Below are 27,520 nucleotides of genomic sequence, written 5' to 3'. Positions count from 1 at the left end.
GGGGGAGAAGTCTGAGATGCTAGATGTCATATAATGCATGGATAGCATTGCATGATTTTTTTTTTTTTTTTTGAGATGGAGTCTCGCTCTGTCACCCAGGCTGGAGCGCAGTGGCGTGATCTCGGCTCACTGCAAACTCCACCTATCGGGTTCAAGTGATTCTCCTGCCTCAGCCTCCCAAGTAGCTGGGATTACAGGCGCCCACCACCACGCCTGGCTAACTTTTGTATTTTTAGTAGAGACAAGGTTTCACCATGTTGGCCAGGCTGGTCTCAAACTCGTGACCTCAAGTGATCCACCCGCCTTTGCCTCCCAAAGTACTGGGATTACAGGCGTGAGCCACCATGCCTGGCCTCATGTCATATGACTTTTGAATGTCCCACTGGACACTTACATGGGTGAAAGTCCCATATATAATTATGTGAGCTTAACAACTAATTTCCATTTTTAATATAAACACAAAGTACATTCTAGCATGATTTTAATACTCCAGGGAGGCAAATACTATGCAAAGTGAATGAAGATTATATCTTGTTTTGCTTAGACCCTACCAAGAGTTATTCACCATTTCAGACATCATATCAGCAACAGCAATTCTGCTATGGCATTTGAGGCTCTGATTGGCATCTGTACCTGCTGAAATTGGGTCTGTGCTTCTCGAATGGTAAGGTGCAGGTGAATCACCTGGAGATCTTGTTTCTTTCTTTTTTCTTTTTAAACAATGGAAGAGACTGCTTGGATAATAATGGAAATAATCCAGTAGAGAGGGAGAGGCTGGCCATACCAGAGAGGAACAAACTAGGAAGTGTAGTTCCTTAGAGGGCAGGAAAGGAGGGCGTCCAGGCACTGGGGAAGGGAGCTGGCCTTTGTTGAGAGGAGCTGGTTTTGGTAAAAGGAGGGAAGGAGGACAGAATGACTGGAGATGAAAGTTGATTTAGAAATGATGGCAGGAAGTTGAGGAATGTCACATCCTCCATGACCTTACCCCTCACCCACAGCACAACCAGCCAGCTTTTTGTCTTCAGCTGCTTTCTATAGAACTGGGTACAGTTGGGGGAGGGGTGGGAAATAAAGAGTAGAGGAGGCCAGACCAACTTCTCTACCTCCCAGGGCAGGTGCTTTGGAAAAAAATACACAGGTAAGATATTCTTCTTGTGACTACTGCTATGTAATTATTGTTCCTCTAGGTCAGTGCTAACCAATAGGCCTTTCTGCAATGATGAAAATGTTTTCTATCAGTGCTGTCCAGTACAGTAGCCACTAGCCACATGCGGCTATGGAGCACATAAAATGTGCCTCACGCAGCTGAATTTCAAATTTTATTGAAATTTTGACTAATTTAAATTTAAATAGCCACATTTGGTTCGTGTCTGTTGGGTGGATAGCACAGTTCTAGATGTTTACTGCCTCTGTTTCAGTGTGGGTTTTTTTGTGTTTTTGTTTTTTTTTTTTTTTTTTTTGAGACAGAGTTTCACTTCTGTTGCCCAGACTGGAGTGCAACGGCGTGATCTCGGCTCACTGCAACCTCCGCCTCCCGGGTTTAAGCGATTCTCCTGCCTCAGCTTCCCAAGTAGCTGGGATTACAGGCGCCTGCCACCACGCCTGGCTAATTTTTTGTATTTTTAATAGAGACGGGGTTTCACCATGTTGGCCAGGCTGGTCTCAAACTCCTGACCTCAGGTGATCCACCCGCCTCGGCCTCCCAAAGTGTTAGGATTACAGGCATGAGCCACCACGCCTGGCCTTCAGTGTGGTTCTTTAAAGGTGAGCACCTTCTTTGGGTATATACCCAGTAATGGGAATATAAATCATGCTGCTATAAAGACACATGCACACATATGTTTATTGCAGCACTATTCACAATAGCAAAGACTTGGAACCAACCCAAATGTCCAACAATGATAGACTGGATTAAGAAAATGTGGCACATATACACCATGGAATACTATGCAGCCATAAAAAATGATGAGTTCATGTCCTTTGTAGGGACATGGATGAAGCTGGAAACCATCATTCTCAGCAAACTATCTCAAGGACAAAAAACCAAACACCACATGTTCTCACTCACAGGTGGGAATTGAACAATGAGAACACTTGGACACAGGAAGGGGAACATCACACACCGGGGCCTGTTGTGGGGTGGGGGGAGGGGGGAGGGATAGCATTAGGAAATATACCTAACGTAAATGACGAGTTAATGGGTGCAGCACACCAACATGGCACATGTATACATATGTAACAAACCTGCACGTTATGCACATGTACCCTAGAACTTAAAGTGTAATAAAAAAAAAAAAATATATATATATATATATATATATATATAGAAGGTGAGCACCTTCTATAGATGGCAGTGTAGCTTGGGACCAACAGCCCGGAACTGGGAGTTAGACCAGAGCCCACCTTCAGCTGGGGCAGGGTAGCTGTTTGCTTGCTTTTGTATTCCTAGGAACTAGCATGTAATAGGTTTTCAGTAAATATTTGAGCAATAAATGGATAAAACAGGGGGTGCTGGTACTTGAACTTAGGTGTGATTTCAAAGTGCGCTGAACTCAAGAGCTTTACAACGTCTATTACCTTCCCCTATTTATAATAGTGAAAATATTGGAAAGCACCCAAATACCCAACACAGGTACTTGGTTTAATTAAATGTTTCTTAAAATACGACATTATGCAGAAGAATATTTAGTTACACAAAAGGAAGTGTATTCATTTTATATTAAGTGAAAATAATCAAAACAGAAGGCATACAATAATCTCACTTTGTAAAAGAGATATATTTATATGCATAAAAAAGGTTGGAACAATATATATACATAGGAAAAGTTTGGGTTATTATTACTGGTTGAGATTAGGTGACACTTTTATTCCTTTTTTTCTTTTCTTTTTCTTTTTCCTTTTTTTTTTTTTTTTTTTTTTTGAGACAGAGTTTTCCTCTTGTCACCCAGGCTGGAGTGCAATGGCGTGAACTTGGCTCACTGCAACCTCCGCCTCCTGGGTTCAAGCAATTCTCTTGCCTCAGCCTCCCAAGTATCTGGGATTACAGGTGCCTGCCAACACACCTGGCTAATTTTTTGTATTTTTAGTAGAGACAGGGTTTCACCATGTTGGCCAGGCTGGTCTCGAACTCCTGACCTCAGGTGATCCACCCACCTCAGCCTCCCAAAGTGCTGGGATTACAGGCATGAGCCACAGCACCTGGCCTTTATTCTTTTTTCCTAAAAGGTCTATTTGATTTTTGTTCTTTCTTTCTTTTTTTTTTTTTTTCAAGAGGTTCTGTCACCCAGGCTGGAGTGCAGTGGTGTGATCTTGGCTCCCTGAAAACTCTGTCTCCCAGGTTCAAGTGATTCTCCCACCTCAGCCTCCCAAGTAGTTGGAACTACAGGCATGTGCCACCACACCTGGCTAATTTGTCTATTTTTTGGTAGGGACAAGGTTTCACCATGTTCGCCAGGCTGGTTTCAAATTTCTGGCCTCAAGAGATCCATCCGTCTCGGCATCCAAAAGTGCTGAGATTACAGGTGTGAGCCACTGTGCCAGGCCGAAAAGGTCTACTTTATTTATTTATTTATTTATTTATTTGTTTGTTTGTTTGAGACGGAGTCTTGCTGTGTCTCCCAGGCTGGAGTGCAGTGGCACCATCTTGGCTGACTGTAACCTCCGCCTCCTGGGTTCAAGTGATTCTCCTGCCTCAGCCTCCTGAGTAGCTGGGACTACAGGCACGTGCCACTGCACCCGGCTAATTTTTGTATTTTTAGTAGAGATGGGGTTTCACCATGTTAGCCAGACTGGTCCCTAACTCCTGACCTCAGGCGATCCGCTCACCTCGGCCTCCCAAAGTGCTGGTATTACAGGCATGAGCCCCCGGCACCCAACCAGTCTGTTTGATTTTTTTACAAAAATGTATCAGGCCCTGTGCAGAGGCTCACACCTGTAGTTGCAGCACTTTAGGAGGCTGAGGAGGGAGTATCCCTTGAGCCCAGAGTTTGAGACCAGCCTGGGCAACATGATGAAACCCAGTCTCTACTAAAAAAAATACAAAAAGTTAACCTGGCACAATGGCATGCCTGTAGTCCCAGCTGCTCAGGAGGCTGAGGTGGGAGGATCGCTTGAACCTGGGAGACAGAGGTTTCAGTGAGCCGAGATTGCGCCACTGCACTCCAGCCTGGGTGACAGAACAAAACTCTGTCTAAAAAAAAAGAAGTATCAGATATACCAGAAAAAACAAAAAATAGAGACAGAAAGTAGACTGGTGTTTGCTTGTGGCCAGGGTTGGAAATGGGATTAACACTTAATGAGCATGAGAGTCTTACGGGGGATCCATAAGGTATGCTAAATGTTCTTTTTTTTTTAGACAGAGTTTTCCTCTGTCACCAGGCTGGAGTGCAGTGCCATGATCTTGGCTCACTGTAACCTCTGCCTCCTGGGTTCAAGCCATTCTCCTGGCTCAGCCTCCTGAGTAGCTGGGATTACAGGTGTCCACCACCATGCCCAGCTAATTTTTGTATTTTTAGTAGAGACGGGGTTTCACCATGGTGGTCAGGATGGTCTCGATCTCCTGACCTCGTGATCTGCCCACCTTGGCCTCCCAAAGTGCTGAGCCACCGTGCCCGGCAAGGTATGCTAAATGTTCTGAAACTGACTTATGTTAATGTTGCACCACTTAGTGAAGTTACTGAAAATCATTGGATTGTACATTTTTGAAATGCATAATTTTATGTGTAAACTATACCTCAAGTAAATTGTTAAAAATCTATGTGTGATTACACGCCTGTAATCACAGCACTTTGGGAGGCCAAGGCGGGAGAATCACTTGAGACCAGGAGTTCGAGACCAGCCTGGCCCATCTCTACTAAAAATACAAAAAAAATTAGACGGGTGTGGAGGCACACGCCTGTAATCCCAGCTACTTGGGAGGCTGAGGCAGGAGAATGGCTTGAACCTGGGAGACTGAGGTTGCAGTGAGGCGAGATTGTGCCACTGCACTCCAGACTGGGTGACAGAGTGAGACTCTGTCTCAAAACAAAACAGGCTGGGCACGGTGGTTCACGCCTGTAATCTCAACACTTTGGGAGGCCGAGGCGGGCAGATCATTTGAAGTCAGGAGTTCAAGACTAGCCTGACCAACATGGTGAAACCTCATCTCTACTAAAATACAAAAATTAGCCAGGCATGGTGGCAGGCGCCTGTAATCTCAGCTACTCAGGAAGCTGAGGCAAGAGTATCACTTGAACCCAGGAGGCAGAGGTTACAGTGAGCCAAGATTGCGCCACTGCACTACAGCCTGGGCGACAGAGCAAGACCCCTCTCAAAAACAAAGCAAAACAAAAATCTGCATATGTATCCTTAAAAAATTAAAACAATGCAGAAATTTTTAAGTCCTCCATCCCCACACCCAGTTCTATCTTCCAGGCATAACCAATAGTGGTTGGTGTTTAATCCTTTCTGACGTTTTTCTATGGAGAATCCAACATACACATTACAGATAAATAATTTTCTGCAACTTTCTTTTTTCTTTGGACATGTAATGAGGGACATGAAAAATTAACAGTAACTACTCTGGAGTTGGGATTGGGGTAGTGGGAGTGGAGTCAAGGGCAGGAAGGGAGAGAGACATTAACTTTTTTTTTGAGACGGAGTTTCGCTCTTGTTGTCCAGGCTAGAGTGCAATCACGGGATCTCGGCTCATTGCAACCTCTGCCCCCCGGGTTCAAGCGATTCTCCTGCCTCAGCCTCCCGAGTAGCTAGGATTACAGGTACACACCAACACGTCCGGCTAATTTTCGTATTTTTAGTAGAGATGGGGTTTTGCCCCATTGGCCAGGCTGGTCTTGAACTCCTGACCTCAGGTGATCCACACGCCTCGGCCTCCCAAAAGTGCTAGGATTACCAGCGTGAGCCACTGCGTCTGGCCTAACTTTTTACTTTCTTTCCTTTTATATAATTTGCATGCTTTTGTCTCAGTGTTTGGAGTTACAAACCCAATAAAGATATTGAAACAAGAAATACTATTGAATCCTTAATGCCATGCTGTTCTTCTATTTTAAAAAAATTAAAAATGTAACCAAGTGCTGGACACCGTGCTGAGTGCCTTAGATATACGGTTGCAATGAATCCTTCTAACAACCCTACAATATGCAATACTATTAGTCTCACTTGGCAGATGAGTAAACTTAGACTAGAGAGATTGATTTTCCAAGATCACACAGCTAGTGTGCAGTGAATCTGGATCTTTACAGTGTGGCGCCTCTTCTCCCTCTGATACTTATGGGCATCCTACAAAACCCAGCTTTAATGATCTCATGTCATGTGCACGTGTAGTCTTCCCTAACACACTTAGGCAGGAAGATGACCCTGTCCTCAAGGGACTGAGAGACCAGGGAGGAGACAGACAGCTAAACAATTACAATCTAGTGCCATGAGAATACATATAGCTTAACAGGACTATGTTCAAGCCGAGGGAGCTTAGACCATGTGTCTGAGGCAGCCAAGGATCTCCAGAGAATATACTCTGAGCTGATTGATAAGGATACCCAGGATTTTTTTCAGGAGGGTCAAGGAAGGTGTGAGTGGTCAGAGGTGGGGAGAGGGTTTAGAAAGGGATTTGCGGCCTGGCATCTGTCTCAGGAGACTCAGGCTCCTACACACCTGGGCATACTCTGGAAACAACAGTACTGTAGTTCTGTGTGGCTGGAGGGTCACATTGGCCTGAAGGAGGGGCAAAGGGAAGGGCGTGCACCTTGAAGCTTAAGGCCAGATCACCAAGGCCTTTTCAGTTGAAATTGGGTTTTTTACACTTTATTCTGTGAATGAAACAGAGCTGTTAAAATATTTGAGCCTGGTGTGTTAGAAAGATGAAAAGGGGCCCCAAGGGGGCTGTTGTGGGGAGTCCCTCCTCAACCCCTGGGCTGTTCAAGGTCCTCTGTCTTGGCACTGAGTGGTCAGGTCGTTTCTGCTCCAGGCTGGGAATTGTCTTAGGGCAAAGACATTGTCTCATTTGCCAGTGCATCCCTGCAGCCTGCAAACCCCCCGGTATACAGCAGGGACTGTATACTGGCAAGCAGAATGCTGGGCACCAAGAACTTGAGGCCAGGGACTGTAGAATAGAAAGCGAACCTTTAATTCTTCCCCAGCGCCGCCCCTGGCACAGAGCTGGTAGGTGTTCAGCCAAAGTCTGACCCAACCATAAGGAGGTCAGAGAGGTCCTGGGCCCAAACTCAATCCCAGCGAGGTTCATTATAGGCAGGTGAAGGAGAGGTGATTGTAGCAGCTTCTGTTCAGCGACTGCTGTGTGCCAGGATTCACACCTATTGTCTTATGCCATCTCCCCAACAGCTCCTAAATTGGAATTATTGTCCCAGTTTTCCTGATGAGGAAACTGAGGCTCAGAACGGTTCTTGGTAACTTGGCCAAGGTCACACAGCCAGCAAGTAGGTGGGCGGTGGCACAAGTCAAAGCCTACTGGCCTGCCCCTCTACCTCGGGAGGCAGTGCGACGCCTACTCCATTTGTGTGGCTGCTGGGGTTGGGGGGCATCCCGCACTGGGGTGCGGGGCCCGGGGAAGGCGGCTAGCCGCCGCGGCTCGGCGCAGCTCCCAGGTTCGGAAGTTACGAAGTTTCCGTGCATTTCGCTAGCCTCCCAGCGCAGCTCGTCTCCGCTCCGCCGCAGTTACGCCGCTAGCGCAGCGGGGCTCAGGTGCTGCAGCGAGCGGGGGCCTGGGGCCGGGAGGAAGGCGGGGACGCAGTTTACGTAAGCGTCCGCTGGCAGGTGCATAAGGCCGCCGGCGGCGAGTGCTCCCTGCGCGCTCCCAGGTGCGCACTTGGCGCAGGCGGCGGCACAGCAAGGCGGCGGCGGGCGCTGGCCGGCGCTCTCAGGTGCGGCAGGACGCGCGTGGAGGGGGCGCGCGGCGAACGAGGGGGCGGGCTTTCCGTTCCCCAGCAGCCGCGGGGCCCGCCCCCTGGCCTGGCCAATGGGCGCGCTCGACGGTGTCACGTGCTCGCTGCCGCCGCTGCCGCCGCCGAAGCGGAGACCGGAGCCGCGAGCGCCACCAGGGCAGCAGCCGCCGCAGCCGCCGCCGCTGGGCAGAGGAGCCGGAGACGCGAGCGGGCGAGGTGGCGGCGGCGGCGGAGCGGGAGCGGGTACCGGGCGCGGGCAGAGCGCGGCGGCGCGGGTAGGCTCCGGCGGCGGGGCGGGCGCCTGCGCGGCGGGCCGTCCCGGGCGGGCGGCGGTTAAGGCGGCGGTTGAGGCGGTTGGCGGAGCCGGCCCGGGCCCCGCATTGTTTGTTGTGCGTCCTTAGCAGCGGCGGCGGCGGTGGCGGCCGAGGCGGAGAGCAGGGAGCAATCCCGGCCCCGCGGCTCCGGCATTGTGGCCGCCGCCGCCGCCGCTGCGGTGCCCCGGCCGCTTCGGGCAAGGGCAGCGGGCAGCCTTCCTCACCTTCGCGGGGACGGGGTCCCGGCCGATCAGGGGAGGGCGTGGGCAGGGTTGGGGGACGCGGTGCCGGGAGGTCTTCCGGGACGGAGGGCTCGGGGCTCGGGGCAGGTGTTGGAGGACATTGGGGGCAGGAGCTGGGGAGAGGCTTCGGGGGGCAGGCGGAAGGTGTGGGCAGATTTGGGGGTAAATAGGGGTGCAGAGGGATCCGGCCCAATGGAGGAGGAGAGCCTTCAGGCAGGTTTGGGGGGCCCCCTGGGCCAGGCGAGTGCGAGATGGAGGACATTCCGTCCGGTGGGGGGGGGCACTATATTGTGGGGTTCAAGAGGGAATGAGGGGGCTTTTGGGGAGGGCAGGGACGAGTGGGGTGGGAATGGAGGGAGAAGACTGGGGACTCGAGCAGGACTGGAAGGAGCGCTGCGTGCCAGGGGCAGGGAGTGGGGCGGGTATTAGGAAGGCCACCGGGACGCCCGTGAAGGGGAACGATGGAGGAGGGGGTCGGGGCAGGGGGAAGTGAGGGCAGGCAGGGAGCGCCTGAAAGGGAGGGAGGGGAGCAGGGTGCCTAGGCTTCTGGGGTGATAGGGAAATGAAGGGTAGGCCCAGGGGCTCCAGGAGACCTGCGAGGGGTGTGAGGGAGTGTGTGGCCAGGTGTATAGGGGAGCCTGCAGGGAGGCGGGAGGGGGTTGACATGTAAGGATAAAAAGGCAGGTATCTGGTGCTCAGGGAAGAGGAGTATGGGGTGGAAGGGGGAAGTTCATTGGGGCAGAGACTTAGTTTGAGGGCTTGCAGAGAGAGGTGGGGACAGTAGGAGAAGGGTGATGGGGATGGAGAGCAGGAGGTGTGTGGGGCATTTAAAGGATAGCGGGAGAAGTGCGTGAAATGGAGGGTGTTTATGCAGGAAGTATGGAAGAAGGTGGGATCAGCAAGAGAGGGAATTTTGAGGTAGGACGGAGGGTGAGGGGTTCTTGGCAAGTGTTGGAGGACGTTAGGGGCAGGAGCTGGGGGAGAGGGACAGGTGTGGGGTGGCGTGGAGTGTGTGAGGTGGAGGGCAAAAGGGGGTGGGGAAAGGGAAGTGTTCTTGGAGTGGCAGGTAAAGTGTGGGGACAAATGGAAGGAAAGATTTCTGAGGCGGGAAGTGTGGAGCGGTTGGGGAGGAGGAAGGTGGAGGGGAGGGTGAGAACGAAATCAGTAGAGGGGGACAACGGGATAGACTGGAGGGGAAGGTGGACAGGTCTGGAGTACAGTAGGTGGAGGGAGGGAAGCACAGGTTTGGGGCACTGAATTTTGTGCTGTAGGGAGAAGGGAGGTAGGGAGAAAGAAGGAAGGTAGACAGGCTATTTTGGGGTAGAGGATGTAGAAGAATGCTTAATACCTATAGTGGAGTAAGGGAAGGGCAAGGCAGAGGTGTATGTGGACATGTCTGTAACTAGAAAGGCATAGGTGATGGATTGGAGTGGTGGTGGTGGTGGTGGGGGAAATAGGATGCCCAGGTTTAGGGCAGGAAATGACTGCTTAAGTTGGAGAGAGCTAGGAACACAGGTTGCTTAAGAGAGTATGGAAGATCCAAGGAGTGGAAGTATGGGGAGAGATTGGAACACTTTGAGTTTGAGAGATGAAAGGGGCCAAGATTTTTAGGTCACTGAGAGTCTAAGGAAGATCAGGCAGAGTGCAGAAGTTGGAAAAATAACTAAATGGAGAGGATTAAATTCCATACTGAGAGAAACTGGAGATTGAGGGGTGGGGGGACCTGGATCCTGGAATGATGTTAATGGAAAGTGGAGGACATTAAACTCAGTGTCATATCTGAAAGTTCATACTCCTAGGGTCAGAGAGATCGTTGAGCCTGCTTTTAATTCCAGAACCCAGTAAATGAGGAAGGGGGAAGGGGTAAGGGAGAGCTGAGTGCACATCCCCAAATTTGGGAGAGGTGTGTAGTGGGTATCATCCTAGCATATTGGTTTGACGAGTGGACAGAAGGGCCACACAGGGTCACGAGGAGCGCACCAAGAGTGAATGGAAATGGGATTGCAGCAGGTGCAGGGCAGATGTCTTTGTGAAACTGGAAGAGACCAGGCCCAGTGGCCAGTAGCATTCAAGGGCTATGCATAAGAGAGGAAGAAAGGGATACCTTGGTGCAGTGTCTCAGATACCCTGGTGCTTTCTGGGTAATGGGTCAGTATTCAGGCAGCATGGGGTGATGTAATATCTGAGTCCCATGCTATAGGCAGACAGAAGTAATGTACACCTAGCTCCTAAAAGTGGCAGAATTGGAGCTTTCTGACTCTTAACACTCTTTCAAGGCGTGAATAACTGATCTGGATTGTTGACTTTTTCTCCCAAATGGTTCAGGTAAAATTTAGTTGGAGGCTTTTGGATTCTCTGGTATTTTGATTTGAGTTGGGAAGTGTAATGTTAGCTTTATTGAGGAAAGACACTTATGGGTTGGGCGGACATATGGCCTTCAGCTTGCCAAACACATGGGAAGTAACCTTTAGGGGTTTGAACACAGACATTTATTTCAGTGCAAGTCTCATTCACTGTTCTGTGGCTTGTGTTAGATTCTTAGGGGTTTGAAAGGATTAAGCAAACTACTTTGAGACTGCTTCAGTAAGCAAGGTTTCCTAGAATCTTGGAAAACGATTTCCCTTTTGACAGTTGAAAATTAAGTCTTGTCAGATTTTGCTAAGAAATAAATTTCATCATGTTGCAGAAATAACTTCAATTATCACTCTGTGGGCTTCACGTAATGTGTAGTGTGGTACCTAGTATGATTTCAAATAAAAGGTTCGCTTTGGTAGCTTGGGAGCTTTCTGGGTTGATTAGTTTTCTTCTTTTGTCGATTTAGGAAGTATCTTAATGCAGCCATTGTATGTTCGAATAATAAGTTTGAGTGGAAGTGGGAATCTTGCCTAAACATAATGAGGGCGGAGCAGAACACCAAATTTTAAGTAATCGGAATCCGTTAATATAAATATTAAAAAAAAAACCTGGAAGCAAATGATTCGTAAAATCCAAATTTGAAGTGTGTCATGGCAGCAAAAGAATGCTCTGAAGGCATTACTGTAAGATTTTATTTTTGGAGGGAAAGATTTTTAGAGTATAATGTCCCTTCGATTGAAACTCTGAGTATTTTGAGATTTGATATATGTATACAATATAATATAGGGAGCATGTCTGACCTCATTTGCTTTTTGGCAGAGAATTTGAGCAGTAGGATATAAGATGAATAGAGTGAGCTTTGAAAGTTCTCTCCAACATAGCCATTGTTTCCTCCTTATATTTCTTAAGTCCATTGTGTTCATTTTATTGACTTGGGGTGCGCACTACTTTCTTGCTCAGAATACTCAATTCTGGTATAGTGTTCGGATTATATGTATTGTTCAGTGAAATTCTATGAATTGGGACAATTTGTAGGCACTTTAGATATCCTAAGTTTACGAACCAAGGAAAGCAGGTTATTTAGGCTTTGTAGGCTGAATAATTGGGTTCTGGTTTTATTTTCGCTGGTGACTTGCTGGACAAGATATTTAATCCCTTTGTGCTGGTTTCTTCTCTAGAAATCTGACTCTATCCATCTCCCATGAGAATCAAGGTGGTTTATATAAAACAAGTTTAAGTCTTTCGGGAAGACTGGAGCTACGTAAATACGGGGATAGATGTTACTTAGTTTCTTTTTTCTCCCCTGTGGTTTTTAGACTGGTCAAATGTTAGTACTTCGTAATTTACCATTAGGTGGATTAATTTGTTGTGTGAAAGTTGGATAGAGATGAAACTTATGTGAAAGAGATGTCTGCAAATTGAAGTTTGTTCATTCTTTGCTGTCTGCTTACCTTTCCAATTTCTCAGCTAAGTGTTAGTGCTGGTTTGAATTCTTCAGCCTGAGCAGAAGCTTGTGAGAGACATTGGGTTCTAGCTATAGCCCAAGATTGTTTCTAAGCAGGAATTTCCAGAGACAGAGGCCTTCTTTGGCTCAGTGAATTCAATTCTTTTTTTGGGGGTGGGGAATGCAGTGGCGCTCTGTCGCCAGGCTGGAGTGCAGTAGCACAATCTCGGCTCACTGCAAACTCCGCCTCCCGGGTTCAAGTGATTCTCCTGCCCCAGCCTCCCGAGTAGCTAGGACTACAGGTGCCCGCCACCACGCCCAGCTAATTTTTTGTATTTTTAGTAGAGGCGGGGTTTCACCATGTTGGCCAGGACGGTCTCGATCTCTTGACCTTGTGATCCACCCGCCTCGGCCTCCCAAAGTGCTGGGATTACAGGCGTGAGCCATCGCGCCCAGCCAAATTCAATTCTTATATCAGAAATAATAAACATAATACATTTTCCTATGTATTTTGCAGAAAATTGATTACTGACTGAGTGACTGGAATAGAAAAATAGAGCTATCCCTTCTGCTAGTGACGTCAAGCTTCCTTGTTCTGATTTACTGAATACTCCTTCCTTTTTCAAGTTTTAGTTATCAAATAATTACCCATCATTTGGTATTTCCGTATGCTTTGACAGGTAATGCTCTATTTGAGGGGGAATGATTTTTAAATGCTTTCTTAATGTTGTGTTTGGTTTACAAGTTGTAAAGAGCCTTCCAGGTGTTGGTCATGATTGACACAGCAAAAATGTAAATAGCAAATTGCCTTTTTTTTTTTTTTTTTTTTTTGAGACAGGGTCTTGCTCTGTGGCCCAGGCTGGAGTGTGGTGGTGTGATCATAGCTCATTGTAACCTTGAACTCCAGAGCTCAAGTGATCCTCCCGCCTTAGCATCTCGAGTAGCTGGGACTACAGGCATGTGCCACCACATCTGGCTATTTTTTTTACTTTTAGTAGAGACCAGGTCTCAAGGTCTTGCTGTGTTGCCCAGGCTGATCTTGGACTTCTGGGCTCAAGCGATCCTCCTGTCTCAGCATAGGTTGCTTTATTACACATTAATTTGCCTTGAGCTTGGTGATACCCAGCTCCGATAGTGATCTTTCTTTGCTACGTGATCTACTCTAATAGTTTACTCTCTTAGGTAACATGTTTGGACACTGTTACCCATTTTACTGCTTTTCTGTTTTCATTTGTTTTGCATAGGTCCTTTTATTGGAAGATTGGTTGTTTTTCAAAATTCGTTTAGCTACAGAAACTGTTTCTGACTAGTAATTCTAAGAGGCTAGTGAATCGAGTCTAATTTTAGAAAACTTTATTGAGAGATGTAAGTTTAATGTATGTGTCAGTTAAAATAGAAGTAAAGTAAATAAGGCCAGATTAATGGTGATGTAGATAATTAGGTGATTTGAGCCTGAAAGTTGTGTTAATCTTTAATATAGCTTTTAGTTCTTGCATTGAATAGTGAGGTGACCAAGTGACCTGATTTGTAATTTTCATGTCTAATTTGAATTATTTCTTGTCCTAAGGGTCCATTAAGTGCATCCTATTTGAGAAGTATAGTGCCTGCCTCACAACAGACTCTCCACATGTGCATGTGGCTGAATGAAGCAGTCCTAAATTTTATTTGGTATTCAGATTCTCTTAACTTCTGACATAACTAGCGCTGTGTAAAACATCTGCTTTCTTTAGTTAACTTTAGCATAACTTGAAAGGGTACAGTTGATTACATCAATAATAAAATCACAGCCTTGCATTGTGTGACTTCATGGTTCATTTCCACTTGAAAAGTGAGAATTCTGCAGCAGGTTGTGTAATAAATTCTGAGGCATTTCTGGGTCATGGGTAAGATGTTTCTTACTGCACCTGCAGAATTTCCTGTTCTTTGCAGTTTTCCAGGTGCCAGGATTTTTCACAATATCCTATTGGGCAGATCAGCATTTTGTTTATGATTTTAATTTAACCAATATAGTGCTGTTGACATATAGTGACTAGTAATTGTCCTAAAGGGCTCTGTCTCTATTTTTTTCTTACCATGCTTGTTTTAGTATGCCATTATTAAGCCCGTTTTGCCAGTTAATTCAGCAAGCATAAATTGACATTTAGGCTCAAAGGTGTGTTTTGTACCAGACCTAAGATTTCTTAGTATGCTTCAATAATACTGGTTTGAGTAAAGAATAGATCCTTCTCTAGATATATTGGCCCTTAATATGAAAATGGAGTTTGTAACTGGTTACTTATGTTTAGTCAGCCTAAATGGAAATAAGTACAATTTAAGACAGCTAGGTAGTGATCTAATAAATAAGTGGTTGGTTTGTAAAAGTTAAGATGGAGGCAGTTCATTTTTAAGATGTTTATAGTTCAAGTAAATCTGAAACTCATTAAACATTGCATCTAATCATAGGCTTCTGTATAGCTTAGGCAACCTAAATTTTAACCTAATGAAGTTTTGGATACTGGGTAACTCTTGAGTTAAATAATTCTGAATAACTCACAAAGATAGTGAACTAGAGGGGAAAAGTGTTGCAGTTTTGATGATTAAAAGCTGGAGAGAATAAAATCTCAAGACTTTGGTGTGAATATTTTCGGTTGTTTTTGAAGTAAGCTGTGAATGAGCTTATAATGCCAGGGTTAGCATAGAAGAACAGATAGCAAACATCGTGATGAAGCTTTTAAAAATACGGTATCTTAAAAATAAGTACTAACTGTGATTTTTTTGTTCTGCCAGTTTTGTGGTAAATGTTTTAGAACTATACAACATTGACTTTTGAAGTTGGTCAGTATTATTGTTCCTTTATTTCTAGAGCTCAGAGTTCATATACCTGAACTTTGGTCCCTGTGATGGCTGTATAATGTAGGTGAACAATGGAATATTACATTTAGGGAAATGGAGGCACAAGGAGTTCACTTTAGAGCAGAGATTGGCAGACTGTCAGATCACTGAGAAGTTGTATATCAAATTCATGTTAGTTTCTGAATTTGGCAAGGAAGATTGATGGCTGAGCAAATTTGAAATCTGCCTCTTTTAATCAAGCTGTTGAGTACACAAGTCTTTTCATGGACTGAATGGGATAATGCTTAGTCCTCCCAGGAAGCTCAGAGTCCCAGGATTATGAGATAGTAATGAATCTGAGAAAAAGTACTGGCACTGGGTGGAGTATGGGTATGCACACAGTGCCTGGTGTGCAACCTTAATTGCTGTATTAGAAGAACGTTATTGGTACTATAAGATTTAGCTATGAGATCTGATCCTATTTACTAGTTGTAGATCTCTCTCCTTAAGTCTGAAATAGGAATAATACTCCTAATTTACAGAGTTATATTGAAGATTAAAGAAGATAAGAAAATTGTTTGGAAGCTATAAAGCATATTTTCTTTTTTTGGAAGTGAGCAGAAATTAAGGGCAGGCTTTGAAGTGATAGACTCAAAAGGACCTGGATTTTTATTTTTCATTTTTCATCATGGACATTTCAGATGTATATGAGTGGAAACAGTACAGTAAATTTCCATATAGCCATCAATCAGCTTCACCAATTATCAGCATTTTGCTGCTCAGCCCTCACTCACAATTGCATTTTACTTTTTTTTTGGTAGGGAATTTACAGTCAATCTTAGACATCATATACTTTGATCCATAAATACTTCAGTATATATTTCTGACTGATAAGAACCAAAAAAACCACGTAACCACAACATTATTTTAACCCCCTAAATTAACAATAATTCCTTATCTTCTGCACAGAAGGACGTGGATTTAAAACATACCTCTTAGAAAGTACTTACCAGCTTTGTGAGTTAAGCATATTATTTACTCTCTCTGAGCTTCTGGTTCCTTATCTGTAACATAAAGATAATGCCTCATGAAGTTATTTTGTGCTTAAATGAAATAACATGTAAAATATCTTAACACAAAGGTTCTTGGCAAGTGGTCCAGCCTCTCTTCTGAGCCTCCTGTGACATGTGAATTAGAATTATGGGCTGCTTTCCTCCCTTCTTTAGTATCACAAAGAGTAACAGTACTCTGGAATTATTGCCCACTAGCCTAGTGAAATTTTTCTTCATTGGGTTATTTGACTCTTCTAGTGAAATTCTATTAACAGCTGAAATGATGTCTCTCTCTCTCCTGCAACATCATTATTCCCCTGTCTACTGGCTCATTCCAGTTGGCACACACATACTATATTTCATCTATTTTTTTTAAACAACCATTTCTTGACCACAGTGCCTTTTTTAGCTGCTACCCAATTTCTCTGCTCCCCTTTACAGCAAAACTTCTTGAAAAAGTTTCTTCTGTTCATCTTTAGTTCTCATGTTCTCTCCGGAAACCACTCTAGTGAGATTTTTAACCCCACCACTCTACTGAAAACTGTACCTGTCAAGACTACGAAGTTTATTTCTTATTTGACCTATTAGCTGTGTTTGGCACAAATAGGTGCTTCCTTTTGTGAAACACTTTCTGCTTTGGTTTCTAGGATACCAGATTGCTGGTTTTTCTACCTACTTGGCTTCATAGTCTCTTTTTTGGTTCTTCCTTATTACACCTACCTCTTAATATTGGACTGCCTCGTGGGATCTCTGTTGTTGTTGTTGTTGTTGTTGTTGTTTTGTGAGACAGAGTTTCACTCTTGTTGCCCAGGCTGGAGTGCAATGGCGTGATCTCGGCTTACCGCAACCTCTGCTGCCCGGGTTCAAGCAATTCTCCTGCCTCAGCCTCCTCAGTATCTGGGATTACAGGCATGCGCCACCACGCCCAGCTAATTTTTTGTATTTTTTAGTAGAGACGGGGTTTCTCCATGTTGGTCAGGCTGGTCTCGAACTCCGGACCTCAGGTGATCCACCCGCCTCGGCCTCCCAAAGTGCTGGGATTACAGGCGTGAGCCATTGCGCCTGGCTGACTCTCAAATTTTTATCTCTAGCCTGGAACTCCAGGCTTGTGTATGCTACTGCCTACCTGACATCTCTTATATCTTCTATCCTTATTTCAAATTGAACTTACCCTGTCTCCTCTTCCCCGTGTCCCTTTTATAATCTTCCATATCTCAGTAAATAGCAGCTTCATCTTTCCATTTTCTCAGGTCAAAACCTGGAGACATTCTTGACTCTTCTCACCCATTACATCTGATCCCTTAGGAAATCTTAGCAGCTCTGTTTAAAATATATCCAGAATCTGACCACTTCTCATCACTTGCACTGGCATAAGCCTACATTACCTTCTCCAAATTATTGCAGTAATCCCCCCCCCTTTTTTTTTTTTTGCCCTTTCCTCCTTATAGTCTATTCTTAATACAGTAACAAGAATGATCCTTTAAAAAAGATAAGTCAGATTTTGTCTTCTCTGGTCAAAACCCTCTAGTGATTGCCCATCTTGCTCAGAGTAAAACACAAAGTCCTATCAAGTCCTTCTGTGATCGAATGCCTTCTTTGCTGTCTGACCTCATCATCTCTTACTCTTCTTTTTGCTTACTCCATTCTGGCCACAATGGTCTTCTTACGGATTCTTTTTTTTTTTTTTTTTTTGAGACGGAGTCTCGCTCTGTCACCCAGGCTGGAGTGCAGTGGCCCGATCTTGGCTCACTGCAAGCTCTGCCTCCGGGGTTCACACCATTCTGCCTCAGCCTCCTGAGTAGCTGGGACGACAGGCGCCCGCCACCATGCCTGGCTAATTTTTTTGTATTTTTAATAGAGACAGGGTTTCACTGTGTTAGCCAGGATGGTCTCGATTTCCTGACCTCGTGATCCGCCCGCCTTGGCCTCCCAAAGTGCTGGGATTACAGGCGTGAGCCACCACGCCTGGCCTTCTTGCAGATTCTTTAACATACCAGGCATATTTCTGTCTCAGGTCCTTTGCACTTGTTGTTTACCCTGTCCAGAATGCAGTTTTTCAGACATTTGCTTGGCTCCATCTTGTCTCTCATTTTCAGTGAGGCCTTCTCTTACCACCCTATTAAAATGGCAGCTCCTCCATTTCTGGTTCTCCTTACCCAACCTTTCCCATCCTCTTTTTCTCCATACCACTTTAAACCATTTCACTTATGATATATTTTGCTTATATTGTTTATTGCCTTTTTTTCTCCACCTGATATAAGCTCCATGAAAGCAAGGATTTTTGTTGGTTTTGTTTTCTGTAGATTTCAAGCACCTAGTAGAACAGTGCCTGGCATTTAGTAGGAACCCGAGTATTTGAATGAACTATTTTATTAATTGTAGTCTATACTTGGAAAAGGTTTAATTTTTTTAAAGTTTTAATTTCAGTTTTTCTTTGGAATATTATGCGCCTTGAAGTCGTCTTTTTGCTGTATTTCTGTTTTTCTTCATGAGTATCCTTATTAATTTATTCATCTTGAGTCCTTATTAAGCACTATGCTGGTTGCATGGGGATATACAAAGATATAGATATAATAATTCTATACAATTTTGTAAATAAATATATATACATAAATTATGCATAAATATGTATCTTTTGTATAAGTTATATATATATACAATTATTATTATTTTTTTGAGACAGGGTCTTGTTCTGTTGCCCAGGCTGGAGTGCAGTGGTGTGATCACGGCTCACTGCAGCCTCAACCTCCTAGGCTCAACCAGTCCTCCCATTCAGTCTGCTGAGTAGCTAGGACTACAGACATGTGCCACCATGCCTGGCTAATTAAAAACAAATTATTTTGTAGAGACAAGTCTTGCTGTGTTGCCCAGGTTGGTCTTGAACTGCCGGGCTCAAGCCATCCTCCTGCCTGGGTATCCCAAAGCCCTGGGATTACAGGCATGAGCCAGTGTGCCCAGCCAGAGATAAAGTATTCATGGACTCTGACTTTTATACTTTTATGAGCTTACAGTCTATTAGGGGAGTTGATAGTATGGGATGTGGGTGTGTGTGTCTGTGTGTGTGTGTGTGTGTGTTTGTGTGTTTTAAAAAGGTAAGTACCTAAGAGAGAGTGATCCAGAATTCAGAAGAACAAGAAATTATTTCTAGTGGAGGGGAATAATAGAGCGATTTCAGCGAGGGTGTGTGTAGTGTGTAGTATCAGCCATGGAAAACAAATAGAACTGGATTATGAGAAAAATGGAAAAGAGAATTCCATATGGAGGGAATAGCATTAGCAAAATAAGAATGCTCAAGATTTGTATGGAAAATAAGTGGTTCATTTTGTTGACGATACGATATATGAAAGGAATTAGCAGAGCGTAAGTTTGGAGAGGAATGTTGGAGCTACTGATAGAAGGATTTGAATGCAGGAATAAGGAATTCAAGCCTTACTCTGTTTGAAAGCCCCAGTGATAAAGGACATTATCAGGACTATCTTTATGAGTTTGACAATGTTACGTGGAAAGACAGACTGAAATAAATACGACTGGTTCTCGAATAATGTTTCATTCGATGTTGTTTCATTATAATGTTGACCAAAAAAAAAAAAAAAAGATTCCTGGCTGGAGCCACTGTCTACATGGAGTTTTCACGTTCTCCCCATGTCTGTGTGGGTTTTCTCTGGGTGCTCTGGTTTCCTCCATATCTGAAGGATGCGCAGTTTAGGTTAATTGGTCTGTCTAAATGGTCCCAGGATGAGTGAGTGAGGGTGTGTGTGTGAGTGTGCGCTGTGACGGAATGGTGTTCTGTCTAGGATTGGTGCCCACCTTGTGCCCTGAGTTGTTGGGATAGGCTCTGGCCATCTGCATTCTTGAACTGGAATAATTAAGTAGTCATCTTGTTTTTTGTTAACTTTTCTTACATATATATATAGCTCACATTTATTTCAGTGTTTAATATTACAAGCGTTTTGGTTTTTATTTAGAAGTTTGGTGATGTTTTTGTGACAAGAAGAACTTAACCGTTGTATATATCAATTAGCCTCTGATAAATTGGTTTTATTATATGTTATTTCCTCTAACGTCGCAGTTTCCAAGAACCTATCAAGTACATTAAATGACAACTTACTGTACACTGATTAAAATGCTATTGTAATAATTTGGGGGGAAAGCAATAAAGGTAGTGGAAATAGGTATAGGTAGTGGAAGTAGGTATATATATAATCTCAGCATTTTGGGACACCAAGGCGGAGGATCAGTTGAGCTCAGGAGTTCGAGACCAACCTGGACAACATAATGAGACCACATCTTTATAGAAACAAAGTAGCTGGGTGTGGTGGTGCTTGCCTGTAGTCTCAGTTACTTGGGAGCCTGAGGTTGGAGGATTGCTTGAACCCAAGAGGTTAAAGCCGTAGTGAGCTATGATCATGCCACTGCACTCCACTCTAGGCAACAGAGCAAGACTAGCAAAAAAAAAAAAAAAAAAAAAAAAAAAGAAAGAAAGGATGTCTTGGAACTGTTGCAACTTGGTAACTACTGAATGTGAGGGCTGAGCAACAAGCCTGACAACTACAGGGTTTCAAGCCTACTTGATTGGCAGCCTGGGGTTCCCTCAGTATAAGCAGGGAGCCCAAGAGAAGTGAGATCAGGAGGAAAATTTGTTTGGTTTTGGTATAACGTTTGCAGGTGTGATGGTTATATACAGGTGATGATGATTCTGATAAAAAGAAAATTAGTATTCTCTTTAGAAAGGATGTGCATCTGTTGCTTTCGTGCCTTCATTTTGATATAGCTAACTCCCAGAAAGAGAAGTAAGACTCAGTTGCTGGATCTATTGCTGGCATCAGAATCTAGATAATTGATTTGGAAAACTTTGACACAGTACCTGAATTTTTCTTTTCATCTGTAAGTAGCTCAACCCTTTTCACTAAGTTTGTTAGATAAGTTGCTCTGGTTGTAAAAACACTATGTATTCTCAGTAGCTTGATACAACTTACAGGTTATCCTTTGAAATCTCCTTTACTGCTGCTTCATTGGTTATGGATATCTAAGTAGTGCCTTTCTTACGTCTTTGAAGAAAACAGATGAGCAGTTGAGTGTTCCCAACTAGTAACCTTGATCACCTTGAGATGAAGGCAGTGTTTATTTGAATTAAAAGGTTTGCATGCTTTTGCCATACCATACTCCTGTTTTTCCCCTTAGGACATAGAGCCACATTGGAAGAGGACAAGCCTTTTAACCTAATTAGTGGTAGTTAAGATGTTAGTTGCCAAAACATTTCTTTAACAGCCTACATTTAACAAAATACCAGAAGATATCAGAGGATGTAGCTTTCTATGCCAGGCAGATTCAAGAACAACAGTGTAAGGTTCTTTTAGATTTATAGCATTTTCAGAGCCCTGTAGCAGGAGGTGTTTTTAACCCAAAGATGATAGACAAAAAAATTATTTGCAAAATGATATTGATAATTGTGTACACTTTTTATTTATAGGCTAATGATGTATGATATTTATATATTTAATGCATTTTTTAATAGTTGAAAAAAGACATGATGAGTTTGTTGAAAACTTGCAATTCACCGGCTACGTTTAGAAGGGTGACCTTGAGCTTATCACATTAGTCGTCTCTTTATTAAGTCTTTTTTCTTTGCCCTTAGATAATATTGTCAGTGAACATTATTTTGGCACTGTCATTATAGAGCCTTTTGTTTTCCATTAAATAGGAGTCAGTAGGACCCAACTGTCCTGAAATGAGAAAATTTTCCTATTTAGGATAATTTATATTTTTCACCTCACCGGAGGTGTGATGGCTTTTAGTTTTTCAGATTTGGAGTATATTGTAAATTTTTTTAAATCTTGGCAATTTTATTTCACATGATTGGTTTGCTAAGAATATAAAGTTTTACCCTTGTGAGAAACCTGCGAGATCCTTTTAGTCCTGCTTTGTTCCAGAGAGGTTAAGGCACTAGTTGAAAATCACACACCCAACTAGTGGCAGAGTTGGGGCAAGAGGTAGATTTCTTTTTTGTTCTTTCTTTTTTTTTTTTTTTTTTTTTTTGAGACGGAGTCTCACGTGATCAGGCTGGAGTGCAGTGGCGCGATCTGGGTTCACTGCAGGCTCCGCCTCCCGGGTTCATGCCATTCTTCTGCCTCAGCCTCCCGAGGAGCTGGGACTACAGGTGCCCGCCACCACGCCCGGCTAAGTTTTTGTGTTTTTAGTAGAGATGGGGTTTTACTGTGTTAGCCAGACTGGTCTCGATCTCCTGACTGGCAAGAGGTAGATTTCTTGCCCTTCAGTCTTGGGCTGCTTTCACCATGTCAGGCTGCTGTTTAGAAATGTGTACCAGGAAATCTTAAATGAACGTAGCTGAGTTGGTCACTAACCAGCTTAGTTGGTTGGTCATTATTGGGTGTTATTACACCTAATAATGTTCAATTGGAATAATTAAGATTTTTTCCCCCTCGTTCCTTCTGAAAACGTTTTTTTAAAAGGCTAACCATTTTAAACTGAACGATTCAGTTTAAATGAAACATTCACAATGTTGAGCAACCACCACTTTATGTAGTTCCAAAACATTTTCATCACTTCAAAATAAAACCCCTTACCCATTATGCAGTTTGAAAAGTTTTTAAGCAATTAGAATAAAAATCTTTGCTGTGACAAGTAAGGTCGACTAGGGCAAGTTTGTATTACAGGTCACTCCTAGTGCTTTGTTGCCTGCTTCCGATTTGCCAGTGAGAAACAGAGTATCCTTCTTATGCTATTTAATAGTGATATTACAAACAGCAGCAACATCAAAAAAGAATGTGTCAGGCACATAATGAATAATAATGCTGATAGCAGGCATGCGTTGTGCATATTATTGTTAATCTTCACACTAGCCTTTCAAAGTGGTTACTGTATTTCTGATGAGAAAATGAAGCCTTGTTCAGTAACTCTAGAATCACTTAGCTGATAAGTGGTCAATCTGGGATTCAAATCCATATCTATTTGGCTTGAAAAGTTGGGTGTTCTTGTCACTAAATTTGGGAATGAGCAGGCAAAAAGAAACACATGGAAGGAATCATCTCGTTTGAGGGATTCAGTACTCTCTTAGCAGTACAGTGTGTAAGGGAAGGGGATTTGAGTTTGTTAGTCCTGTTGGTGTTTGTTAGTTGCCACTTTATCCTGTCCCACTATGATTTGTATGCACAGGAGGAAAAACAAAATAGGAAATAATCTTTGGAACTCTTTATGGACATTATCATGAACAATTAGAAGAAATGGCAATGTAGCTTCTGACATTTGTTCTTAGAAATTATCTGTTTCTTTTTTTCTTCTCTTTTAATGAGTCTTTATATGATTTTATTTTAAATTCATAAATTGATTTGCTTGAGTGGTTTAGTCTGAGCAGTATTGGAACTTGATTGATTTCCCATTTTAAGATCCTTTTAAAAAGTGGTGATTCAATTCCAGTGAAGCATAACTCAAATTGTGTGTATTGAAGACTTTTGTAATTACATTTTTGCCCCTATTAAAAAACTTTATTTTAGCTTTTTTAAAGTTTGAAAGAACTTTTGGTAGGCCAGTTGTCAGTCATTCCTTTGAAAGCCCCTAGTAAGTCACCTCATAAACCTTGTCACTTTTCTACTGTGTTTTGGCCCGAATCATGTTACTTCCCTTCAGTAATAGGCCCTGGGGTAATATGTTAAAATATGCTGGCTTTGGGTAAAAAGGATGGTATCATGTAAAATACAGCTCTCTGGCTACTTTGGACAAAGAGATTTTTTTAAGGTTATGTGAGCATAACAAGAATATAAGGTATAGCAATAGCAGCCATCTACAAATGTCTTGAGTGTGTGTATTGATAGTTATCCAAAGAAGTATAGATTTTTGACAGTGACCTTGTGACTTTCGCTAATATCTAAATACTAGGTACTTCCATAAATGGATTTTAAGCTTTTAAAAACTTTTATTTAAAAGTTTTAAAATGCCCTTGTAGCTTGGCTCAAATATTACACATTGCTTTTCTGTTTTGACCTAGTGGTGACATTTCATTCTCTCTGAAACCAGCAGAAATGTACTGTGAAGAGTACAGGCTCTGGAGTTGGTCAGATTTGTTTTCAAGTCTTTGTCACTTACTAGCTGTAAGACCTTTCCTCTTTTAAAATGAATATCTTATGTTACAGCTCTGTAGCGTTAGAGGTGATGTCTCTAAAGGGCTCAGCACAGTATCTGGCACATAGTGAATTGTGTTCAAATGGTCCGTGTTATAGGAAGAAGTCTAAATTTTGATAGCCTAGCCAACATCACGGTGCAAATACAGGAAAACCTCATCTGTATACTGTCCTGCAATCAGCACGTTTCTTCTTGGATTTGTGTTTTGTTTGTGTGTTGAAGTGCCATGTGTCAGTTTTCACCATTTCCTGCAACTTTTCCTTTTTCTCAGAAATGCCTGGCAAATACCTTCATTGGGTATTGTATAATTGAGCTAAAAAAAAAAAAATAGATGGTGCTATGCAAGCTAATGATGAGGGATTTGCTCCCTTATAGCAATCCCTTTCAGTTAGGTATTCCTGTGTAGCATGTTAACAGGTGCTTACCACCCTTAGAGATGTCAGCTGGCCGAATGCCCAAGCTTATGCCAAAGAAGGGAGGGAGCTTTTGTTGTCTGGAATGAAAAGTATACAATGCCTACTAAATGCTTATAGTGTATTTCATGATGATTGTTAATGTTAAAGCATGAAAAGCTATATCTTAGCCTAATAATTTTACTCATTACTTCCCCATTATTTGCATTGTTTCTCTTGTTCTGTTTAGAAAGACATACAAAGGACTTTTACACTGTAACTGTAAGGTTGAGGTTGTGATGAATTGCAATCTAAGAATATTAGCTATGGAGGGGACTTTGGAGATCAGCTATACTAACCCTCTTATCTTGTACATGAAAAAGCTGGCTGAGAGAAGTTGTGACTCACTCAGGGACATAGAAAGTAAGTGACAGGTTTGATTTCCAATCCGGTATTATGAAGGTTACCTGGTAAAGTGGAGAGAGCACTGGACTTTGGAGTCACACAGGCCTGATTTTGAGTCCTGATTCCACCATGTATTAACTGTGTGACCTTTGGCAAGTAAATCTGAGTTAGTTTCCTGCTTTGTGTTACTTTGTGGGGTCTTGAGGGGTCTTGAAGATTATGGGATAATGTAAGTATAGCACAGAGCCTGACATTTGCGATGGGCTCAGTAAGTGCCGTCCGTTCTCTTGTACTATTTTTCTTCTCCTTCTCCTTCTTCTTCTTCTTTGAGAGAGGGAGAGAGAAAAGAAAGAAAGAAAAGAAAAGAAAAGAAGGAAAGAAAGAAAAAAGAAAAGAAAGAAACAGAGACAGAGAAAGAAACAGAGACAGACAGAGAGGTTCTCTCTCTCCACTGCCCAGGCTGGAGTGCAGTGGTACGATCATGGCTCACTGCAGCCTCGAACTCCTAGAGTTCAAGTGGTCTGCCTGCCTCAGCCTCACAAGTAGTTAGGATTACAGGATTACCAGACCTGGCTAATTAAAAAAAAATTTTTTGTTTTTTGTTTTTTTGTAGAAATGGGGTCTCGTTTTGTCACCCTGGTCTTGAACTCTTGGCTACAAGCCATCCTCCTGCTTCAGCCTCCCTAAGTGTTGGGATTATAGGTGTGAGCCACTGTAGCCAGCCCTGCTTTCCTTTAAAACAGATCATATAGCTAAGTGATTACTCGTTATGAAATGGGAATCAAAGAATGGTTGATGTTTTTGCCAAAGCCTTTTGCTGAAAATCTGTTGTTCATTGGAGGAGGATTGCTGATTGCAAAATGAGTGCAAAACATTTGTCAAGAGCTTAAGTGACCACTGCTCCAAGTTGTACAGTGTTGACATGGTTCATTCCTGAGAAATGGCTGCATTTCCCTAGTGAAATGGATAGAAAACCTAGCATTGGGAACACCAAATCAACCTACATATAGTTAGGCCAGCAGTTCTCAAAAAAAACTTTTTTTTTTAACTATAGACCCTTTTACAATCTTAAACATTATCGAGGACCCCAACGATCTCTTGTTTATGTGAGTTGTATCTGTTGATATTTATCGGAAATTATATCTGATAAAAATTTAAATATTTATTTAAAAATGCTAATAAACTATTATATGTTAACACAAGACAAAAGAAAATTAGTGAGAAGACTAGCATTGTTTTACATTTTTGTAATTCTCACTAATGCCTAACTTACTAGAAGACAGCTGGGTTCAGATAGCTGCTTCTGCATTGTCTGTTTTAATATTCTTGATGAAGTATATGAAGAAGAAAATCTGCCTTCACACAGATATGTAGCTGGAAAAGGGAGAAATATTTTAATAGCTTTTTCAGATAATTTTGGATATTCTTCTTTGATACTACACCAAAACTTGACAAATGGTAGTATCCTGATAGAATCTGAAACCAGATCAGTGAACATTTTGTGTCCTGTTACATTAAAATCCATTGGTCTTTGCATTTTGATTGGATCTTTTATCTATACATGGTTTTATAACATTATGCATTGGCCATTGGAAAATATTGATTCATTGAATTATCTTGATCTTCCAAATGTGACCTATTTCATGTTCCGTCTTCAACGTTATATAGCCTCTGGGAAACTCTGTACTCTGGAAAGAATGAGAGTGGAAAAGAAACATAGTGCCTTCATACTACTTGGAAAATAGTTTTGGCCATGCAGACCCCTGAAAAGGTCTTGAGGACCTCCAGGGGTTCCTAAACCACACTTGCAGAACTGCAAAGTTAGAAAAATTGGTAAGCTAAAAGGAGTGACTCGGTTGCTTTATATTTTTTTAATTAAAAATAATTTAAAAACAGATTTAAAAAATAATTTTTATTTTGAGACAGGGTCTTACTGTGCCACCCAGGCTGAAGTGCAGTGGTGCAATCATACCTCACTATAACCTTGAACTCCTGGGCTCAAGTGATCCTCCCACTCCAGCCTCCTTGGTGTCTGGGACTGCAGGCATGCACCATCATGCCCAGCTAGTTTTTTAATTTTTTTGTACAGATGGAGTCTTGCTATGTTGCCCTGGCTGGTCTCAAGCTCGGCTTCAAGTGATCCTCTTGCCTCAGCCTTCCAAAGCGTATTTTTATTTTTTTGAGACAGGGTCTCACTCTGTTGCCCAGGCTGGAGTGCAGTGGCATGATCACAGCTCACTGCAGCCTTGACCTCCTGGGCTCAAGTGATCCTCCCACCTCAGCCTCCCGAGTAGCTGGGACTACAGATGCACACCACCATGCCTGGCTAATTAAAAAAATTTGTGTGTGTGTGGAGATGGGGTCTCATTGTGACCTGCGGTTTCCAACTCCTGAGCTTAAGTGATCCTCCTGTCTCAGCCTCCCAAGGTGTTGGGATTACAGGTGAGAGCCATGTGGCTTGGCCTACAGCCTTA

The 27,520-nt window shown here is 43.1% G+C and overlaps 1 protein-coding gene across 9 annotated transcripts in view, besides 4 other annotated features; it reads left to right on the top strand.

Moving 5' to 3' along the window:
- Positions 7,595-8,074: a silencer, noted in NCBI's record as "silent region_20248". NCBI's record gives its function as "represses an Ori minimal core promoter by ATAC-STARR-seq in GM12878 lymphoblastoid cells {active_cell/tissue: GM12878}" and the evidence as "EXISTENCE:reporter gene assay evidence [ECO:0000049][PMID:35858748]".
- Positions 7,595-8,194: a biological region, named in NCBI's record as "H3K27ac hESC enhancer GRCh37_chr9:126030691-126031191".
- Positions 7,694-8,194: an enhancer, noted in NCBI's record as "H3K27ac hESC enhancer chr9:126030691-126031191 (GRCh37/hg19 assembly coordinates)". NCBI's record gives its function as "activates a minimal SCP1, AML or CMV promoter by ChIP-STARR-seq in naive H9 embryonic stem cells {active_cell/tissue: H9 hESC(naive)}" and the evidence as "EXISTENCE:reporter gene assay evidence [ECO:0000049][PMID:30033119]".
- Positions 8,020-27,520, top strand: part of STRBP (spermatid perinuclear RNA binding protein) — a 159,093-nt gene continuing 139,592 nt past the window's right edge. For all 9 annotated transcript variants that reach the window (XR_007061327.1, XR_007061326.1, NR_033234.2 and 6 more), the window contains exon 1: positions 8,020-8,170. The gene's annotated coding sequence lies outside the window, so the exon portion shown is untranslated. The remainder of the gene's footprint in view (positions 8,171-27,520) is intronic.
- Positions 8,245-8,294: a silencer, noted in NCBI's record as "silent region_20247". NCBI's record gives its function as "represses an Ori minimal core promoter by ATAC-STARR-seq in GM12878 lymphoblastoid cells {active_cell/tissue: GM12878}" and the evidence as "EXISTENCE:reporter gene assay evidence [ECO:0000049][PMID:35858748]".

Source organism: Homo sapiens, chromosome 9, assembly GCF_000001405.40.
Source record: "Homo sapiens chromosome 9, GRCh38.p14 Primary Assembly".
Taxonomy (NCBI): domain Eukaryota; kingdom Metazoa; phylum Chordata; class Mammalia; order Primates; family Hominidae; genus Homo; species Homo sapiens.
This window is presented reverse-complemented; position numbering and strand designations above follow the sequence as displayed.